This window comes from Homo sapiens, chromosome 2 (assembly GCF_000001405.40).
Source record: "Homo sapiens chromosome 2, GRCh38.p14 Primary Assembly".
Classification (NCBI taxonomy): domain Eukaryota; kingdom Metazoa; phylum Chordata; class Mammalia; order Primates; family Hominidae; genus Homo; species Homo sapiens.
Genome location: NC_000002.12, coordinates 158573979 through 158597452, shown reverse-complemented (window position 1 = coordinate 158597452; position 23474 = coordinate 158573979). Strand labels below are relative to the sequence as shown.

General features: G+C 35.3%; 1 protein-coding gene and 1 long non-coding RNA gene across 15 annotated transcripts in view; both read right to left on the bottom strand.

The window, feature by feature from the left end:
- PKP4 (plakophilin 4) overlaps positions 1 to 23474 on the bottom strand; it is a 224478-nt gene that overhangs the window by 83977 nt on the left and 117027 nt on the right. For all 14 annotated transcript variants that reach the window (NM_001377220.1, NM_003628.6, NM_001005476.4 and 11 more), the window contains one exon: positions 20070 to 20182. In NM_001377220.1, the coding sequence (NP_001364149.1) occupies positions 20070 to 20182 (113 nt within the window). The remainder of the gene's footprint in view (positions 1 to 20069; positions 20183 to 23474) is intronic.
- Positions 1196 to 20062, bottom strand: LOC105373715 (uncharacterized). The gene is made up of 2 exons (XR_001739137.2): positions 19190 to 20062; positions 1196 to 9228 (listed from the first exon to the last, which is right to left on the bottom strand). It is a non-coding gene; the product is annotated as an uncharacterized LOC105373715 (long non-coding RNA).

Below are 23474 nucleotides of genomic sequence, written 5' to 3'. Positions count from 1 at the left end.
TTCTACTAGCAGACTGCAGCCTTCTTGAGAGTAAAGATAGTATATTAATTCTACCTGCATCTAACCAGGAACTGGCATTGAGTAGGATGCTTAAATAGATGATAGCTGATCTTCACTCTTTGGGTTGTTGTTTTAAAGATTAATGCTACATAATTTTAGAAACTGTTTCAATCATTCTGCAAAAGAGACAGATTCCTCCTGATTTGGGCTCTTTGTATCTTATAGAAAAGATGTTTACTGCATATATCGTATGGATTCATTCAACAAATATCTGTTGATCATTTATTGAGCACCAGCCATTGTTAGAGGCTGGGAATACATGGTGAGAAGAGCATTCTACAAGAGAGGACTCTGATGTCAATGTCACAGGGCCCAGCACTATGCCGACTAAAGAGACATTCACATATCTATCACAAACAAAAGTGTGAAGCAACTTTTAAAAACAAAAACAAAGACCTAACTCTCCTTATACTCATCTATGAAAAGAAGGTCAACTGGTACTGGGAGCACCCAGGTAGGAATCTGAACATGAAGTCCCCAGTGAGACAGGTATGGAATATGAACTATACGCCATAGTCTAGACTGCACCTTGACTTCCACAGCTCAAAAACCGTAAGGGGTTGGGAATAAGCCAGTTTGGGAGACCACCAAAATAATACGCTGCATGTGTAAGAAATCTGACATTTCTCCCCCTCTGTGTCATGACAGATGATCTCTTTAATGGCTGTTTAAACCATCTCAAATGAGTAGCGTTACATGATCTACTTTCACTGTCACACCATAGTTTTTTACAATATTACAATATTCTTTTCTTTTTTTTTTTTTAAAGAGACAAGGTCTCATTTCATTGCCCAGGCTGGGATTACAGGCATGAGCCACTGTGCCTGGTACACAATATTCTCTAAATTATTCTTAAGTGTTCTTCTATTAAATAGATGTAATTAATACATGAATCAGGTGTATATTAATCTTTACTATGAAAAATTTTTAAAATACATTTGTACATTGTGGCCTTTCCTTGATGTTTCACTCCTCAATTTTCTCTCAGTTTTACCATTTTGAGCTCTGATCCTAAGTTCCACACAAGTCTGTATTTCTGTACATATTAATTATTGAATTAGAGTTTAAAAACGCCCACGTTTACAGATGAAATCTCAGTGGCTTCAGGACATAAGTTCCAAACTGCATTTCTCTCTTTTTCCACCAATTCTTTATTATCTTACTTTCAATTTGTGATTTGCTCATTTTATAACATATGTTTCACCTTTTATTGTGCCATTGGTGGGCTTTATTTTTCCACTAATCAAAATTACTCCATTAGCAAATGTATAGGCTTTCTGGATTCCAAATCTATTGTGAGAAGTTCTAGCTAAGTCTACTTTTTAGTCAATTCCAAGGTCTATTTCTAAGTTAAAAAAAAAAAAAAGGTAAACTCATTTTGTGATTTTATTTTTTGGCAATGAGTTCACATTGCAATTACTTAACACCTTGTTATCCTCTAGGCATTACAAATTGCTTTTTAAAGAATTATTCCAGAATCCTCTTAGTTATGTGAACTGGGCTCCATAGTTCCCTGTCACTCTGTATTTCCCATTATGCATCTGGGATTTTTTTTTCCCCTCCCCAAGGAAATATGACAAAATAACTACTAATGATTCTTAAGTTTGTCTCTACTTAAGAATGTTACAGGATAAATTTAAAACAAACTACCTTAACTAAGTTTAACACATTCTGTCAAACACTTAAATTTCTATATCGTCATTAATTATAATTAAATGAAATCTTCAATTATGATCAGGAGATACAACATACTTTAAGATTTTTATTTCTATCTAACATTGCTTTGGCTTCTGTTTTAATTAGTACATTTAAAACTTTACTCCGTCTATCTCTTAATGCATTTGTAAAATATTCCATTAGTTTCTTGTGAATTCTTAGCTAGGTTAAATGCATTCTTTGCTTTAGCTTTCTTGAGTGCTCGTGAATTTATGCTGAGAATACCGCTTTTTGAATATAATTCCTATGGAAGTCCCTGGTCTTATTAAGACCAGGCATTCACCTGTGGGCAGGTCAGATTTCTCCTTACCCTGACCCTCAAGAAGAATGTCCGTGAGCTCATTTTATATTTACAATAAGCATGGTGAGAAGTAGGATCTAGAAGACTAAGATGGAATAGAGGGTTCTCTAATGCTATAACCTGTCTTCTGATGTTCTGAAAATTCATACCACTTACTAATAGGTAACTGTTAGGTTACAACCAGTTCCGTTTTTCCTGTTTGGGAAACAGGGCCTTTATCTGTTGCTCTTAGTCAGGTAAGGATTGCCCGGGAAATAAATTCTTTACACTAGAGACTTATGCTCTCTGTCTTAACGTCAGAACAAATAGAGCAGTTACACAAATTAAACAATATGTCATGATTATTCTTCCCAAAACAAGTTTGGATAGCTCTTCATCATTGCACTAAGCTAGTTCAGTAAGGTGAAGACAGGAAGGTCAACACGTGAAGACAGTGAAAGTGAACTGCTTTGCCCAGCTGAAGGACGAGGGAGTTGGAAGGCAAACAAATATCTCCACCACCACATTCACTACCACCTCGGAGGGGCTCTCAGGACCCTAGTTTGAAAAATCACAAATCCAGGCAGTAATGATTTCTTAGCAAAAATATTCTGAAAGCAATCCTCCTTAGTATTTAACTATATTTTTTGAAACCCCTTCCAAATTTACTTAGTGTCCATTCACAATCAATCTCAATGAAAACAAAAACAAAACAAAACCTCTTCCTCCAAATTCCTGGTTTTTCACTGACCAAGTGTCTCTTTACCATGCTGTCAGATCCTGGGCAATTCTCTGTTGGATGGAGACTGATTTCTTTCTTCCCAAGAAAGGGCCACTAATTAATTCTTCCTGGCTTTTCATCAGAATGGCCGTTAGTCCCCTCTCTTCCTAAGGCTATTCCCAAGATCTCAGCAGCCAGGAAAAGTGAAAATGTGACAACAGGTGCCTAACTGTAGTTTAGTTATTTTTATGTGTTATGACCTTGCCCCTGAAAATGGTACATGCCTATAGTTTGAACTAAGCAAGGCATAACAAATGAGACAGGGCAAAGGGCTTCTTTTCATAATTATTTATATGATCTGAGGGTGATATCGAGGTTACAGAAAAGCAAGAGCACTTGAATTAAAAATGACACCCTTCATGTAGGCTATAGCTGTTCCTGACCCATCAGCAACAGGACATGAGGCTTGAGTTGCCTTCCACCAGTGAGGCTCTGCGTCAATCCATCTCCACTCCAAACCCAACCACTGGTGTGACCAACAGAATGAGCAAACAAGATGGCTATAGGAAGGCAGACCTGATACCTCATGGAAGGCAGAAAAGGTCAAGGGCCTAGAGTCAGACTCATATTTCCCTCAGTGACACTTTACCTGAAAAACTTGGCCATGCTCAGAATGTGCTTTTACAATTTTAGTCTTTACAAAATCATGAGCAACAGGGACAGCAAAATGTGGAAAAAAAGTCCACTCTTGGTTTACATTGGCTGCTAGCAAGTTTGAGTAAAATGTATGCCCAGCTACTGTGGTGAACATGTTTGGTCTTATTCATGGCCCTATTTTGTTTTCATACTTGTTTTCTCAGTTCTTCATTCTACTTTTCCTTTGTGCTACTCTACTGTATATTTTTGGATCCCTATAACAGCTGTCTAAAACGCATTCCAGGGAAAGTTAAGATTTAAATAAACAATATCATGATCAGCCTCCTGAAGGCGAAAGTTGCTTATTTGATGCACAGCAAAAACATGAAAGGAACAGGAAATACAGTTCAAGTAACCTTCATAGGGACTAGAGGTGAACAAATTTCAGAAGATGTTAAATATTCTTTGACAAAAGCATTTTATGTTAGTGCCTTGAATCTATGAATAAAAGAGTCAGAAGACCATATGGGAAAGGGAAGATCAAAAAGGACGTAGTACTAGACAAAAATGAGACAAACAGTTCCCTCTGGTATCCCTATAAATTATACAGGAAACATGACTTCTGTTTATGCCCATCCCACAACAGGTGTTCCAACTAGTCAAAGTAGAAATCAGAAAAGGAAGGTTTTCTAATATTTCAAGTGACATTTGAAAGAATGAAAGCAACTGAGATGAAAAGAGTAAAATGGCTAAACACAACAACAGACTCTCTTCCTAAATATCCTGCCACAAACCTAGGATCCTATTTGGGCAAAGATTTGGCCTTGAAACAGAGGGGCTACTGGGAACTATTTGTGTCCATGGTCTACAAAATGCTGTTGCCTTCCTCATTTCTATTCTTCTAAAACCTTCCAAAGGTGAAGAAATAGAAAGGAAATTTAAAAAAATTTAAAATAAGAAAGGGCATATAAACATACTATTTTCTGCTAGAACTGCATAAAAGCATCTATATGTTATACTTGTAAATAAAGCAGATGCTGGTAAGGAACAAGAAAAGGGCCCTGTTTTTCTATTTGTTCTATGTGAGACTGGGCACAGCATTAACATGGGACTAAGCTGTAGCAGTCTACAGTAAGAGACACGCTGGGATACCAAATCCTTGAAATTTATAATTACAAATAGTTTTATTTGATGCATACAATTTAATTTCGTACATTATTTCATATTTTAAGTGCTTTGAAAAGACTATGTAAAAATTTACTTAAAAGGAATTTTAAGCCTAAATTTGTAATTAAACATTTATTCCCCCAATCATTTACACAGAGAATTCTTTGCTACTCATGTAAAGGTACTATTAAATCTGGTGTGTGTCTAAAGAATGATATTCACTTTCTGTCTACTAATTATCCAGAGTAAAGATTTTTAATTTTTATAAACAGTAAAAATTTCATTAATAAATTTAATTGTAAGTGTGAAAAGAGAGAGCATAATACACTTGTTAAATTTCTGCCTTGCTTTTTGAAAAAGAAAGGTTTCTCTCTGTAACAGCATTTTCAGCTCTTGATTCATGGACAAGAAACATGAATAGCTGTTTTAGTGCAGAAGGAGGAATGAATTCACATGTGGGACAGTCCACAGACCCAGGATTATTAATAACTATCCTGGAAAAAGAGTGGACCCATAAGGAAACAGTCAATATTCTACATAGCATATACTATGTTTCTATGTAGTAAGACATCTGGATCCTAGAAAAGTGGTTCTAGAATGTTTTAAATCCCTCTGAAAACTCTCATGGATCCCTAATTCATCCCATATCCCCTTACCCACCACTCTGGTTTCCTACTCTTCTCTATCACCCACATGTTCCTAACTACTGCTGTAGGGGAATGAAGCAGAAAAAAGCCTAAGAGGATGAATAAGAAGGAATGATGATAATGATAATGGAGAGACAGGGTAAAGTCTCTTAAAACAGCATTCTTGATAAACAGTGTGTGATCCATAAACACTGATCAGGAGTTGAACAGGTACCCTTCAAGGCAAACAGAAAAGGTAAGTGGTTGGTCAAGACTGCCTTAAATTTCTAGCTTTAATGTCCAGGTTTCTTTTAAGAAACATGAATCCAAAAAGAAATGACAATTTACAACATAACAGAGGAGAGGCTGACTAACTTAATCTTTCTTTCCCTCTTTTTTCTCCCTGTCCCATTCATTGCCATGAGTGAACATCATTGATAGGAAAGGTATTACATGGTATGTGGAACATATTATGTAAATTTATAATCTCTAAATGGTAAAAGTTAGAGCTAATAAATGACATTTATTTAAATTTTCAAAAAGAATATTTATTACTCAGATTGTAAGAAATATAACCATACTAATCTTATAAACATTGAAATTATGGTTAATTTTTAAAATGCAATTTCAGTCAGAAAATTAAGATCTGAATCACCTAACATTTTAAAAACTGTTATGCAACATTTAAAATATATACAATAAAAAACAGTATAACAAACACTCTTTGTATTTATTACCCAGCTTCAACAAGAAAATGAACATGTGGCCAAACTTATTTCATTGACATCTTTATTCTACATTATATTCTCTACATTACTGGATTATTTTGAAGCAAACTCAAGACATCTTATTACTTCAGTAATAAATACTTGAAATGTATCTCTAAATATAGATACTTTAAAAAATAACATAACCACAATATTATTACACCAAAAATTAACATTAAAATTTTTAGTATCAACAAGTATCTAGTCAGTATTCATATTCCCTGTTTCAATTTAAAAACAGTTGGGTGGTTTAAATCAGGACCAAAACAAGGTCCATATGTTACATTTGGTTGCTATGTCTCTAAAAATCTTCTGATATATAGTTTTACCTCCCCCTCTCTTCTTTTTCCTATTTGAAATAATTTCATTTGCTCTGTAGAATTTTAGCCTGGTTCTAATGAATGTATCAGTACAGTATCAACTGACATGTTCCTCTGTCTCCTGTATTCCCCATAAACTGATATTAATATCTAGATGCTTAAATAATTTTAGGGCAAGAACATGTCATGGGTGACGTTACATACTTCTCATTGCATCGTATCAGGTGACTGTGATTTCTGGCTGTCTCCCTTTCTGTGATATTAACATAAGATAGATAAGTGGGTTCATGTCCTGTCAGCCTGATCCATTCATTGTAAAACTTCTCACTACCTTTCCAGCTGATGATTTTAGTGGCCATTGGTGATCATTGGTTTGTCACTATTTTGTTAGTGGTTGCGAAGTTCTACCAAGTTAACTTCTAGACTTATTCTGATTAAACTACTTCATTCAGTAATATAATTTCTCCCTTTGTTTCATGTTCATTTATGATATAATACTATTTCAGTTGTCATTTACAAATGTCTTTACTGAAAGACATTTGCTAATGTTGTTCAGAAAACAGATACACTTTTGCATTTTGTACTTTGTAAGCATTAGTTCTTGTATTATGGTTGATAATTTTACTTGAATTTTCTCTGTGGCTGAAATAGCCCCATTATTGATAATGTAACTAAATCTGGGAAGTAGATCAATCTTTAATTGACTTGGACTGAAGCAAAGACTACACATCATAGGATCCTAAAATAACTGGCTATTATTTTTCTCCAAAAAAAAAAAAAAGTCTAGAAGAAATACACAATACACACACACACACACACACACACACACACACACACACACACACACTCAAGACATTCCTCCTTGGATTATAAGCAGTCTATTAATGCAAACCAAACATTTGACAGTGGTTAAAATGTGTAGGTATTTAATGGGAGTTTTTTTAGCTGTGAAAATCTGTAGTCTACACACTTTTTCCTGCTTCAGTTTTAGAGTGTTTTTCTCCTATTTAATTGTGGAGTAACACAACAGCAGCATAGAAAAATCTATGCAAAAACAGATTATATTGATTTCTTATTAAATACATTGTGAAGCCTCAGGGAAGATAACTATAATAACAATTCAGACAATATAAAGTCTGGCAAACTTGTCATGTTTGTCCCCCACCCCCATCCCTAGGCAGACATGCCATGTACATTTTTACGACAAGCTGATTAACTGCTGAAAACGCACTAGTGGATGGCCCTCACTTTTAGGTAGATAATCACATTTTCAGTTTCCTTTCCCATACATCACTGGATTAGAGCTGTCTAGGGTAGTTCTTTGAAGGGTTAAGGAAACATCACACATATTGCTCTTGTTGCTCTATGTCCTTAACCTGCCAAATGGTAATGAGAATGAGAGTTTACTACCAACCTTCCTTTATTTCATCATGAATATTAAAGTGATTAGATGAAGGAATTACAAAAAATTTCCCCCTAAAATAGTTAACTGCGCTAAGTACATTAGTGGCAACAGACAATATATTTTTAAAGGTTGTTTCCTAGAGTTGTTGAATTAACATTTATATGACCTCTTGTACATGTTTGTGAAAGACCAGGAATAGAAATATCAAGCGCTTCAGAGTTTCCAGATAGGAGAGACAAAATAGTGGTAGTGGAGGTGGGGCTGGAGACGAGGACTCTCACAGATGCCTCGGTACAGCCAACACAACTTTTACCTAGATAGCATGTGTTTGGAGGGGTGCAGTGGCAAGAAGGAGGTAAATGGAGTACTGAAGTCTTCCCACCCCCTTGACACTCCAATGGTAAAGCAAGAGAAAAACACTATCTTTAGGGGAAAATGTCAGCCTCATGTTAGATTCAGGTGTACAATAAATAAAACCAAATCAAAGCAAAACACACCACCACCGCCAAGACCAAAAATGAAATGCTACTGAAGAGTAAGAGGATAACATGCACGAGACATTTACTATCAAACTGCAAATTACATAATAGGTGTTCAACTGCTGCTATTCTCTTTCCTACACTATAATTATAGAAAGGGATTTTTACCAAAGGATATGATAATCAAAGATACCAAGGTAAGGCATCCTGGGACAGAGCTAGGAGAACCAGTGCAACCTCATCAACAGCATTCTTCACAAAACTAAAAATAATAAAATACAGGCATACATTTTATGCTGCTAGGAAGACACTTCATCACCTGGTTTAGTTACGCACAATGGTCTCTTGCTGATAGAAGGCAAATTTCTAAGCTTGTCTCTTTGTAGCTCTAGAAAACAGGAAAAGCTAAGTATTTAGTGAATGAATTTAGAAAAGACATCATAAATATTTGCAGAAAAAAATAAATGCAGAGTCACTAAAGAAAATATGGAAATAGAAACTGAGAGTAATATTAGTTGGGCCTTCACCTACCCTAAGTGGCAGGTTTGGATAATTTGAGATTTATTATTATATTATAGGTAGAAAGAAAGTTATTTCTTCCACATACGTGTCACTGTACTAATGTTCATATTCTTAAAATAGATCAATATGGTGTACTTTGTTCTACAATGTACTAGGATCTGTACTATTTTAAGAAATATATCCCAGAGTTATTTTAGCTTTAAAAAACTAATGATAGAACCAAAAATAACAAGCCAAATTACTCATTAGAAAAATGAGCAAACAACATCAACAGCCGGAGGACACTCAAATGGACCATAGCATATGAAAACATATTCAACCCCAACAGTAATTGAGAAAATGCAAAGTTAAATGAGATAACGTTAGTTTGGCAAAAATTAAAGAGCCTGTTCAATATTAAATATTGGCAGAAAGAAAGAAGGAAAGAAAGCAAGCAAGCAAGAGAAAATGAACCGGGAACTTTTTTACACTGCTCAAGGGGGTGGCAACTGTTGAGCTACTTCAGAAAGCTGCTTCAAACCAGCAAGATCTAGAAAAATTAAAAATGTACATTCATTATGATCCAAATAGTCTACTTCTCATTATATATTTTCCAGAATCTTACACATGTGAACCAGGATATATGTTCAAAAATGTTCACTTACAATATTGTAAAACTTCAACAATGGAATGGCTAAACAGTTTAATGTCTATGATATAAATATACAAGAGCAGTTAAAAGAATGAACTAGATTTACACATTTCAATGTGGCTGGATCTCAAATGGAAAAAATCAAGGTGTACAATGGCACATAAACTACACCTACAATCTTTGATGTAAAAAAAAAAAGCAACACAAAATATTGGTTACACAGGTGTTAATATATATGTATATAATATATAAGTACTGTATATGTATTGACATAAAAGTATACAAAGTCAATTGAAACATTACATACTAGTGGTTAGCTATGGGGAAGAGAAAATGTGGCAAAGGGGACTTGAATTTTATGTTCAATATTTTTTATAAAAAATGAATTTTTAATAATTTTTAATTACAGGATGTGAGTACTTAACATTTCCATTTTATTCTCTGCATTTACAATTTTTAACATTTCTCAAAATAAAGAAGATTTTAAAACCCAGATAAGGGGAAAATAATAATAGTAATAAGAAAATACAGGATTTAAGAGCATTGTTGCTTTTATGAGATGGTAAATGTAATTACTAACTCCTATAAAGCAGCGAAGGCAAATCTGTTCAAGCATCTTGAAATATCCTGTATAACCTATTAAAGTACTTTATCAATATGTACACATAATTTCAAAAACTCTAATGATGAAGGGTAAGGGCTAATATTATAATTCTTATTTTGATTCAATAATTCAATACTGTTAAATAATTTAATAATATAATTACAGAAAGCAAACTATGAAAAATTACAGAAAATGAAATACTGTTTTAACTAAAATTGTTCTTTAAAAGATGATTAAATAATGGCATGATATACATATTTTAGATGTATGGGCCTCTGAATTTTTAAAAGTATTAGAAAAATTAATACAGCTGAGGTGCCTCCATTTTAACCACATATATTAAAATAGTCTTAAAATAATCTGAAACATTTATGCTATTAACCTGATCTTTTTTGTGGTTCTTCCTAACTGCATTATCCATTTAACATTTAAAATGCTCAGTCTAAGAGACAGGTAATTTATTTTGGAATACTTATTTGCTGTGATTAAAACATTCTAGGTTCAAAAAAGATTCTATTACTCATAAAAGATATATTGTTTAAAATTCTTCATGGTGACATTTTTAGCTTAAAATACGTTAGCTTACTGCAATACTGGTTGAAATACCTTGGGGTCACATGTCCTAGGCAAGACTCAGTTATACTAGTTTAATTCACATGTGTAGAGATACTTGTCATTTGGATTTGTATGTCCCAGTTGAAACTGGCTTGTGACTGGAATGGCAATGAGATATCATAATTAAAAATGCCTTCTGGAAGAACTGTGGTTGAGCAAACTGCTCTAGATAAACAACTTCTGTAGAGCTGCAGGTCAGCTTTGACTCATTTGGTATCTTTCAGATGTGGAACTCTTTACTGTGTTTACAATAGGAGTTGCATCACAAAAATGCAGTGTTACCAAATTTGCTCGTAAGAGCATCAATTTAATAAATATTCACCATAGAGATCCCGAGGGTTTCCGGTAATTATATTCAGATATTAAACAGTTTATTCTTCATTTAGTCTGAATTAGAAATGAAGTTAGGGAGCTTTAGAATATTTGACCATTAAGAGAGTCACTAGTGACCAAATACACTAAAAAATTAAAACTAAATAATTACAGACAACTAACCCACCAATAAACAAGCATTTATTAAAAGAAGAAGCAAAGGAGAAAGGAAAGGAGGCAAGCCCACATGACAGACTGGGAGGATGGGTGGACAGGCCAAGGGGAATCTCCCTTTGCTCCCACCTCTCCCAACTTAAGAATGTCTAGAGCAAAGCTCTTGATATTTTTCCCTCTTAAAATACAATACTCAGCAGCACTATTCATAAGAGCCAAAAAGTGAAAACAACCCAAATGTACAACTGATGCCTAATAAATAAAATGTGGCATATCTACATGATGGAATATTATTTGGAAATAAAAAAAGATGAAGTACCAATACATGCCACAACATGGAGGAACCTTGAAAATTTCATGCAAAGTGAAAAATGCCAGACACAAAAGACCACAAATTGTAATGATATAATTTATTAGAAATGTTGAGAATAGGCAAATCCATAGATACAGAGTGTAGATTAGTGTGGTTCTCTGAGGACAGGGAAAAGGAAAAAAGGGGGAGGCTAGAGGGTTTTTTTTTTTTTTTTGGAATGATAAAAATGTTTTAAAATTAAGTAGTGGTGATGGTTGCACAACTCTGAATATACTTAAAAACACTGAATTGTACACTTCAAAAGTATGGATTTTATGGTATGTGAAATGTATCCCAATAAAATAGTTATTTTATAAAAAGCACTCTCAGGTTTTGCCTGGTGAGAGCACTGAAGGTCAAAGGGACAGAGCTTTCTCAAACATCCTCCTGAAGTGGTATATTAAATAAGTAATAAACTGTTAAAGCACAAACATTCAATCTATTCAAAGATTCTTCATTTTCTAAAGAATACATTATTTGAAGAGGTTGATTTCTCATTGACTTAAAAATATTCACTGAAGAAAAGATTTGAACCACAAAAAGGTCTTTTATGCTGCTGTCAGCTCTAAAACATTTTTAGGATTTTTAGTAATATCAATCGAAACCTGATGGGCATCTGCAGATGACTCGATCAAGTGTAAAAAATAAAAAATCTGAATGGCAGTGGGGAATCAAATATTTTCATTAAAATAAACCAGTTCTTTTCTTAAGTGGTAGTAAGAACACTATTTGTCAAAACTGTATGACCTTTTTGAAATCAGAAAGAATTCTATTTTAGCAGGGCTTTAAACTAACTGAAAAAGGGGAGATAATCTTGGGAAGACTTTGAAGTTATTTAACTTCAACATTGCCACCCATTTTCCTAATACCAGCAGCAGCCAGCCAAAGAATGAACAATGTGAAGGGACCAAATGCTTCTGAACAGGATAATCAAATTTCAAAATCATTTGCAAAAAGCGAAAATGAAAATCTAAACTGTGCTTTACTTCCAAAAGTTGCCATTAATGTTTTCTACAATTATTAAAAGGCCCAATTTTTAAATATATATTTTTTACTTCAATATAAATAAAAACTTAGGGCTTTGTTTTAGTCAGGAGACAAACTACGATTTGTAAAATCAAATACTTGGAACCAATTTATGATGTACAAAGAAATAAACTTTCTCTTTCACTGTTTACAATTTATCGAGAAGTAAATAAAAAACAAAGAATAGATAACCAAGATGAGTTTCTGGGAAATAGTAACATTCCAAGTCTGTTGTCAAGAACAGTTATAGTTTTGAAATTCTTTACTATAAAATTTCAGGGATAGTTTCTAGAATTCTAAGATGATCATATTTCATTTATGAAATCTTCAATTCTAACTATATACTTTTAATCCTTCTAGTTTTTATTGTTTAAATTTTTTGTAGAGACAGGGTCTCACTATGTTGGCCAGGCTAGTTTCAAACTCCTGGCCTCAAGTGATCCTCCTGCTTAGGACTCCCAAAGTGCTAGGACTAAAGGCATGAGCCACTGTGCCTGGCCTATCCTTCCAGTTTTGCTACACAAGAAGCTGAACCACTAGTGTAACTTCTCTGCTTGCGTGAAATGTGAACACAGATCGTACAATGCCTACTGGAACGGTGAATTTATCTTGCAGTATTTCTCCTGGCCGAGTCTTCCACTAGAATGCGCTTGCCATTGGAAGGCTGCACTGGTCCCTAACCTACTAAGTTAGCATCCCTAGGCCCCAAGGTATTCAGCACTTGGGAATTCCGCTGGCACGTGGAAACCATTAAATTTGGTGTACGTGCTTGGCTGAGGAGCCAATGGGGCAAAGCTGCCATCTGTGGGATTATGACTAAACACCTCTAAGTCAGAATACCGCCCAGGCAGAACCATACAGCAGGGCCACAGACCCTCGGTTGGCCTCGGAGCCGGAGCCTCAGTTGGCCTCGAATCACTGGGTCCCCGCCAGCAGGCCACTTGGACGTGCGCTGGGACCCCAGTGCAGAGAGCCCCTGGTCCTGGGAAACGGAATGCGGCCAGAAAGGCGGCTTCCCCCTTACCCGTCATGTAACGCTTGTTGGGAACCTGGCGCTAAACCATTTGTAGACGACCTGTTTCTGGGTTGGATTTCGTATGTAGTGGAGCAGCTCCCTCGCTGTGATCTATTGAAAGTCTGCCCTCGACACAAAGGTTTATTAAAAAAAATCAGAAAATATAAAAATATAAGAAACAAACAAACAAAACATTAAAAAAAGATTGTTTAAAGAATACCCTGGCATACCAAAGTGGGACTTTAGGAACAAGATAAAAAGTCACCTGTGGGGAATTACCTCAAAATTAAATTAAAAAATAAATTTTTTTAAGAGAAAGAAATACAGCAAACTTTTAAAAGTGGTTGCCTCTTTTTAGGGGGGTTCATGAAAATGTTCTATATGTCAGCTGTAGTGGTGGTGGTCGTCACACAACTGTATACCAAAAGTGCTAGTAAAGGATTGTAAAACTACACTACAAAGGGTTGAATTTTACGGTAAGTGAATCACACTTCAATAAAGTTGACTTAAAATGTATAGTAGTTATCTCTGAATGATAGATTCAGGAATTTTTCTCTTTATACTTTCCTGACCTTTACAACTTGTCTAAAAGGAATGCCATTTAACTCCACAATCAATAAAATACGGAGTAAGAATACGGTCTTATCTACACCATTGCCTGCTTCAGTGTCCTTGGAGTGGAGGCATAAGGGGAAGTCCTAGGGAGGAGTAGATAGGTACAGAATCTAAGTGGGCCCTGCAATGTGGGCTATTGGACCCTTTTACTCTCACTGTATCCAGTGAAATCTCAACCCAACTAATGTGAAAATGATACCCCATCAATGATATTGCAGGGAATAAAAGAACAAGTCCCATGCTCATCAAAAGTTGGATTTGAAGGATGTTGCTTAGCCCGTGGGAGACATGAGACTTAAAGGACATATTTCCCTCTGAAGATTCTATGCTGTGAGATTTCCTGAGATGAGCTGTACATACCCCAGCATCCCCTGGGAGTCATTTCTGTTGCTAAGATGTATACACTATGCACCTGCACAATGACAAGCAACACAAGCCATCTCACATCTCAGCACTCATTGCCATCCATGACTCTAAAAGGCTCTACAGACAGAAATAGTCATGGTAGGCTGCCTGCTTAGTGGACCTAAAATTGATTCATCCATCTACATATGCTAAGTATTATCCTGGAGCCAAGCTGTAGTGTCAGACTTGGCCCCGTGGAAAATTACTCTTAGTTAAGGTGCTATTCCATCCATTTATATTCCATTTAACAATGGAAGAAAGAGCCCTATGAGCTTGTTTTTGTAATTTACTGGAAAGAGACCACTGAGGACACTGCTTGCCTCATCATACAGCAGTATGTTAATGGGGACACACGGGAGAAACCACTTAAGCCTCAGCCCCAGGAATGGTGGATCTTCCTGAGCAACCTAGTTTGTTTTTCTCTTACAGACACATGAATTGTGGAATTCATTAGCGTTTTTGTCTTTACCATGGCTATTAGGTCACTCAGAGTGAATGTGGCATGGAAGGTTACAACACACATTTTGTGTACTAGTTTAAACTTGGCTTCATCTTATTTTTCTAAATTTTATCTTCTTTTTGCCCTAATTTCCCAACTTTTAATTTTTGTATTTTGAAAGGTGTTTCAAATACTTTTGGATGAGGTGAAATATTGAATGCATAAGTAACTATAGCATATTCAGAACAAATGCAGAAAAGTTTTTTCTTCCCTAATTAACTGGTTCCTTTCAATGAGGTGAAATATAACTATATGCTACTCAATATAAATGCAGACAAACCATAACTTCTTTATTAATTCATTCCAAAACCAAACTTCAATGAGTAAAATATTAAATACACAGATAATATTACCTGCATAGATAACTTTAGTGTACTTGGTACAAATGAAGAAAGGCTACAACTGCTCTATTAAATGAGGCCATAACCCACCTTCAGGGCTTTTCAAGGTTGCAGCGATTATTTCTGGTCTGATATATCATCTCTTGATACAGACTTCATCAACTTCAGATGAAAGTTCATTATAATATATTGATAGTGCTAGTTTTATTAATTTTTAAGAAGTAAATAAAACCAATGGAAAAGTCATCAGAAATGAGGTTTTTACCTTGTTTGGAAGACTACTAATTCTAAAGAGTCATTAATAGAAAAACTAAGGAATTTTATCTTAAGATTTTCAAAATGTTCTCAAGAAGGCATACTGCAAATAAACTGCCAATGATTATTATGCAGTTCACCTTTTTGGGACATTTCCTGATAGGTGGAAATATATGCAGAGGACTAGTTTCTACCTATAAAATGGAAACATCTTCTGGCATGGGTTAAAAATGAATCTTTGATCCTACAAGTGTGAGGGAACCGAACTACTCACTATTAGAGCCACCCATTCGGGGAAGAGGATTCCACAGTTTGTTTATCACAGCATAAGCGTCATTAAACAGGTATTAAACAGAACCTCATGCCACTGCCACGTCCTTCTTCACAGGGTGAGGCCAATAATGACAAAAACTTTGGATGGGTGAAAAGGTAAATAAAAACAAATGCTTTTCGTTTTCCTTTGAGTCATTAGTGTCATCTTTGGACCAGGAAAAGTAAGAAAATCTTACAGATCACCTTACCAACTCTGCCACAGGATCCAAATCAAACAGTATGAAAGGTAACTGGTGATCAAATCCCCCAGTTTGCTGATTAAACTCATTTCATGCAAGAACGAACTGAATCAAACAGAAGCTTGATGGCCCAAAGCAACAATTCCACTTTTAATTGTTATTTTTTAGCAAATCGGAAATGGCATACCGGAAAGGGGGCCTGGGTCTAAGAGCTAATTTCTGTTCTTCTCTGTATCACTTAGATTCTGGTTCCAAGACTGACAATTGAAACACACTGGAGATGCAAGGGGGATCTCTCAAGTGACACAATAAAAAACTTTAGCTCCCCTAATGGCAAAGCACCTTTACATGATGTGCCCGAAGCATCCTGGACTTAAGGTTCATTATCCATTCAATGATCATTTGGCTGGGTGCCCACTTGCTGAGCGCCAGGCTCTGTGCCAGGGCCATGGGGGTGGAATGAGCCTTACTACCTGTTGAGCAGCTAACATGCACAGGGAAACAGTGATGGGAATTCAGATGAGGGAGGTGACTTTTCCTGAGAAACTTGAGAAAGGTTGTAAAGAAGGGTAAGCATTTAGTTGGGACATCAAGAATACATGGGAATTCAACATGAGAAGAAAGTAGGGCAATCCAAGTAGATCAATTACCATTCCAACCACAGCTCAGAGATCACTGAATGAAGAAACCCACCTTACTCATAACCCTTAAAATTTCATAATAGATTCCTATCTGGCTGCCTGGCCTCTTTATTCTGTTTTACACACTGCACTCTCAAAAAAGGAAAACTTCTAATCACCATCACCACCACCAATAACAACTTTCAGTTGGTCTCCTTTAAAGATCTAATAAAGTTCTTCACAATTAAATGCCAGCTTCACCTTTCCAATTTCATAAGCCAGTAGGTCCTTTTAGGACATATCCTAGACACTGAGCCTCTTACTGCTCGGGACAACTGTTTGTGGGGCCATATATGCATTTGTGCACATTTTCCTCCTTTCCCTGGTCAACCCCACTCCCATTTCTGCATGACCCATTCATTCACCCGACATTCACTGGTGGTGCCACAGTCACTTGCCAGGCACAAATGCCAGGCACTGAGAACCAGACAGGAACCACAAAAAAAGTCACTGACAGAAACTACTACCCACAATATGTACTTTACTTAGAGATTTTAAAAAAACATATGGAACCAGCCAATGAACGATATAGCCTTAAAATTATTTAACATTTTAAAATTCACAAGTCCAGAACATAATCTAATAGCCATGCATATATCAACCACTCCCTCATTTAACAGTTGTTAACATTTTGTTATATTTGCTCCAGATGGCTCTTGAATAAAATGCTACAGATTCTGCAAAAGCCTAATTCCTAGTATCGTCCTCCTTTCTTCCTTTCTAGAGGTTCCACTATCTTAAATTGGTGTCATTCCAAAATATTTTATAATTTTACTCCACATGCACACACTGACAAACAATACCAAGTACTATTTAATTATTATGCAGTATTGCTATATATATAGCAATATATATATAGCTATATATATATATTTTAAATTGCTCATAGATTATATCCTCCTACAGCTATTCTTCTGCAACTTACAGCTTTTCAAGTCTGTTTTGCAAACATGTCCATGTTGATACATGTAGATCTAGTTATTTCATTTTAACTGCTCTAGAGTTTCATTTTAACTGCTTTAGAGTGTACCTATTAACAGTTTATTTTCCATTTCCATTCTAAGGAATAAGTATGTTCTTTGTAATTTTTTACTTTTGCAAATGGTGCTGCAATGAGCATGCTTTGTATCTGTTTTACTGTGCACACCTGTCAGACTTCCTCCAATGGTATCCAGTTCTTGGACTGTGAAACCCTACTCTTTTGCTCACTGATTCTCTCACTCATGGTCAAGTTTTTTTATGATATGTAATTCAATGCTTTTTTTTTTTTTTTACAAAATCAGAACTAATTTGGAAATACATGACGAACAAAGCACAGTGTGAAACTGTCCTTCCTACCCTCTTCAATACATCTTTTCTTATTTCTGTGCTACATTCAGGTGCTGTAATCTCTCGTCTGGATTCCTTAGCTCTAGTGAAGGTATTTGTGTGTGTGAATGGTTGTTCAAATTGAAGTTTCTGTGAGAGGATGGGCACTGACAAGTCCTATTCTGTCATCTTGCTGATGTCATTCATAAATTTGTGTTTTATACTATCTCACTGTGAGCTCATCTTTAGTGGTGCCATTTTCTCACTGGGGACTCCTGAGCAATGTGGATAGTTACATTTGGGCTCCAAACCCACATATGATAGAAGCCTGGGGTTTGCTAATCATGGGGTCCTTTAAAGGACATGGCTTAGTGCAGTGATGTTAAGTTCAAACATACCATCTTGAGCACACACAAAACTTCATTCTTTAGCTCCTCTATGGGTATAAAATCCACCTCTAGTGCTTACTTTGAGGTTTGACAACTGTTCTCACATCTCCTACAGAGGTAGCTCAAGCTTCTGGCTCTGGTTTTCAGTGCTCTTTCTAGTTTCAATATCTGGGGATTTTCCCTCCTCTTGTGCCATTTCCTCTAGGTATTGGTCTTTATTATTGATATACCAAGTATTACTAGGAGTTTATCAAGAGAATTTCTATTTTAATTTAGTTAGTAATATTGCCAGAATAAGAAGTACTAACAGAATTCTGTTAAATGTTGAATTACTTTTCTATTAAAATATAATTCTGGTTAGAAAAACAAAACCAGTTGGTTCATACCTTTTAGAAATATATAATACCATATTATTGAGTTTGTGAGTTGTTCTTTTTGGTGCTAAAGATACGGATAATTTCTAAAAAATATTATAGAGAATTAAAGCTAATTTTTGTTTTCACAGTTTTAACTTAACGAATTATTTCATTGGGTATTGCAAAGTCTGAGTTAGAAATTTCTAATTTATTATTTTATACCTTGCTTATAATTCTCTTTCTATAAAAACCTTCCTGGATATTTATAAAATAATTACATAATCTTATATTTGTTTTGTAAAAGTTTTGACGACCTTTATTTATATACTTTATGCCTTACCAAACATATCAATATACACAACTGTTAAGAGAGATGAAAAATTCATATTACTACAACTTACCAGCCCAATAGTTTAATGTTCATACCAACAATCAGAAACAACAGACAGAATTCTATTCACTAAGAAGTTTTTTTGCCCATGAGTAACACAAGATACTGAAAAGTAGAATAATTATGAGGTTAGAAATAACTGAGAGAAAAGTTATTGCAGGCATGTCTACCTAAGTGTAAGCAGATCAAACTTAAAACTGCAAGCAATGAAAGCATTTTACAGTAGGCTTTACAGAAATATGTAATTATTAAGAAAGAAATCTATAGATAGGATAAGCAGTGATTTAACTATTCGGAACATGTAATTTTTACAGGAATTATGCTTTTAAATAGCATAAGAGGTACTTAAATAAAAAATAACAATCATGATTATGTTTTTACAGTAATGCACTCATTTAGTATTTACTGTATGTGAGTACAGTAAATTATTCCATATAGTAATTAGTTTGTGTGGTAGATTCATAGAGTTCTAGAAAAACCCAAAGTAAATTGAAGACATTTTTAAAGTTAATGCAATCTTATTTAGAAATATTTCTTAGTTTTAAAAAAATCAATACCAGGTGTTCAAAGCACCAGCCAATTAACTTTACCAAATAATTAGCAATTAATCACGACAACACCCATTAACTGTGTGTACATATGAGGAATCTGAAGGCAGCACAGTAGCTTTTGCTACAGAAGCTTGCCAATGCTATAGAAAACATTTCAAGCACAGGACTGAGGGATTGCAAGAGGCTTCTCAAAATTAGAATAAATGGACATTTTTGGTTTCAAATTCTGGAAGGCAAGTTAACAGTAACAACACTAACAGAATCTTTTGCTGCATAGAGAACAACCTAGTAAGGCATGTAACTTGAGTGTGCATAAAGATGGAGCCATTGGCCCTGTACCTGGTGCTGGCGATGCTTGGTGATTCTGCTCCAAGCCTACATCTTTCTAGCTGACTGGCAACAATCTGCCTTTCCACTTCCAGTTCTCGGGTGAGTCGCTGAAACTGAAGCTCCTGTGATTCAAGAAAATAAAAGGCATATAAGGCGCCAAGGTATGCTGCTCAGGCAGATATATGAATTAATGTATGTCACAGGAAACATAGGAACGTACCCATAACATAAAGCTATGGTGTGGCTTTGTGAAATGCAATTTTTGGATGAAATAAATGACCTATTGATTCCTAGCTTTTTCAAATCTAAAGGCAATAGAATATCAGCCTTTATTTGGCATAAAAACCATGTAGATCTTTATTTGCCTTTTCTGATTTTGGTTCTGAGGTCTTCAAACAGTACTTCTGCTACAGTGCCTTACTAAAGTTAAGGCTTCCAGAGACCTTACTTAATGTATCTACATCAGAGACACAGCAAACAATGGCTAGTTTTTATATTTCTTATACTATATGTCAGCATAGTTTAAAAAAATATAAATCCCCGTGATCAGAATCACTTTACCATGTTTGATATAGTCTTTTAATTAAGAAAAAAAATGATTCCAATGCCACAGAAAAAGTCTTGCCGTATTTATCTATAATATAACCAACAAAAATTTGCTATGTCCAAAAGCAATCATGTGCCACTGTGCAAAGGAGAGAAGGAACACAAGAAGTGAAAAAGACTAAGCCATAACATAGAATTTAAAATATATTCAAAAGCTGGAAGATAGTCTACAGAAATTATATTCTTGAATCTATGCTGCAAAGTGAAGGCAAACAAGTTCTATGAAAGGAGAGAATGTTTTAACTTTATTTGTATTTCTCTCATTGTTAGCTTGATGGGATTTTAGTAAGTAGAAAACATGTCATGTTATAAAATATCTAAAGATCAAGTACATTCCAAAGGTTTTAAGCTACAAATAGCATCTCAAGCTCCCCTGTGCCATACTGTCTCCTCACAAGTCTATTCAAAGCAAATGCTGAACTGTAAGTAGTTTAATTTGATGACTGCTAGTTCAAAATACCAGACATATGAGTATTAAATCTAGAAACTATTCAGAAATAAAACAACCTAAAATATTATTTATGATTATATGTATACATTCGTTTGCCATTAAAAATTTTAATTGAAAAGTATATGAACTCCCTGTGAAATCAGGCAAACATGTAATTGCTTGACAGTACTGGCTCTGCAAATTCCACAAGCTATTCTTGGAATAATTTTTAAGAAACAGTCCCTAAACTCCTTACCATCTTCTGATACTGAGAATCCTTTCCTAATGATCCCAACTGGTGTGGCAGTATTGGACAGGGCCTAGATGAATAATAGCTGGCTCAATAATGCTGTACAATATGATCATAATCGGTAAGTGGGACAATGCCTGCCTCTGCCTAACAATTCCTAGGCTCTTAATAAATGTTCAGTAACAAAAGACTAGATAGACATAAATTGTTCAGCATTCAGTACCAGGCTAAGATAACCAATTTGAAAATACTATTATGCTTACCTCACACTTACTCTTTCTTTGCTCTTAAACAGCATCATTTTGTTTTTTTTGTTATAGACTTCTATTTGTTCACTTCATTTACTCACTTGTCATTATATGCATCTTTTCCCACAAGACTGCCTGGTTGTATCAAGCTGGGCCAGGAAAAGACTACTCAGGAATCCCAAAATATTCCCCAAGCCATCACAATACCTTCGTCCTCTGAGTTCAGTGGCTACTAGGGATTGAGGGCTGGAGTACTGTCCTCATTTTGGGATGGGCAAAAGTTACCATATCAGGTACAGTATGGTATGAAGATACATTGCAAATAAGAACATAGAAAAAAAATTCCATTCATAGAAACAAATTCCATTGTACAGGAATGAATTTTTATCATGTTTGTGGCTGCCTGTGACCTTGTAAACAACCTTTCAAGGAAATGGCTGGGAAAGTTCCTGCTTGAAGGCAGAAGTTGGAATTTCTCATAATTCCTTCCCTCAAAAGCAGAACGGGTGACTTTGGCTCTGCCAAGAAAGTACACTCATGCCAGGTTGTGATGCAGGTGCTGACACTGAGACTCTGACTCCAGCAAAGAGGACACTTGTTTTCTCTCTCTATTGCCTTCTTGCTGTGCTTCCTGCATTAGGTCTCAAGGTCAAGATCCTGACATGGAAACAACCTCCATACACAATTCTGTGTGTTTGGTGGCTATAACAATAGTTTCTTTATCTGATCAACATTGTGGCACAAATTTGGACACCGTTCCTGGAATCTTAGTCTCAAGTCTTGTTCTCCAGTACCTGTAACAAATGTGGGAATTCACTAATAATCCCTTAATGAATTCCTTTTCTGCTTAATTAGCCATGTTAGTTTCTGTATCTTACAACTAGAAACTTTGATTGACGTACCCACAGAAACAATTTACAGTTCTTGAGTTGCTAGGAAAGCCTATACATGCATGATGTAGCTACACTTTTTATTTAAAAGTAGGGCAATTCCTTTAACATTCTTATGGACTGAATTAAGTCCACATTATATCCCTACTGGATGCAGAGCCCATAATACTGAACATCACTGGCTACTTTTATCAAAACCATTCAACCTATTACGTGCCCACAACTTCTCACAAGTAGTACTTCATTAAAGTGCCAAAAGCAGAATATCAAGAAGCTATAAAGCACTGAATTTGTAAAAGTGACTTAACACCTGTAAATGTTTACAAAGAAAAAATATGCTTTCTTGCAAAACTATTACTATTCCTCCTAAGAATACAAGTTGAACACACGCACATGTGAATGGCACCAAGATGTATGAGTGGGATATCAATATTTGATAATTCAGTCTCTACTGGCCTCTTTGACTGACTGATGAGGACAGTATTATGCTGTCATATGAAAACACATCTAATAATTTCCAAAATAACGCTCATTAAGATGATGATGCAGAGACATCATCTATGAAGTTAAAAATTCTTATATTTTATCCTCTAAACAAAAAATGTGAAGAATGGTTCTTAAATCAGTATCCCAAATTGGGAATCTTAATTATAGGGGGAGCTTATATTTGTTCTTTTGTGAGAAGAAAAAAGTTAATGTTAAAAGCACTTGTCAGTGATTTAGTGTATGAAAATTTCCTCGTAGAGCCTAGCAAACAATACCACACGACTTTAGAAAGTCAAGGCTACTAATATACTATGAAAATGGAATCTGTTCACCTGTGTTACAAAGCTTTTCTTTGTATTTACTTCCTTCCTCTCAAGTAAGTATACTGATAAATATTCTTTGAGAGAGAATTAAGAGAATAGATGAAAATAAAGCTGCACTTTCAGATGAGCCATATTTGGTAGACAGAGCTACACTGCCCAAGGAAGCCCAAGGAAAGGCTGG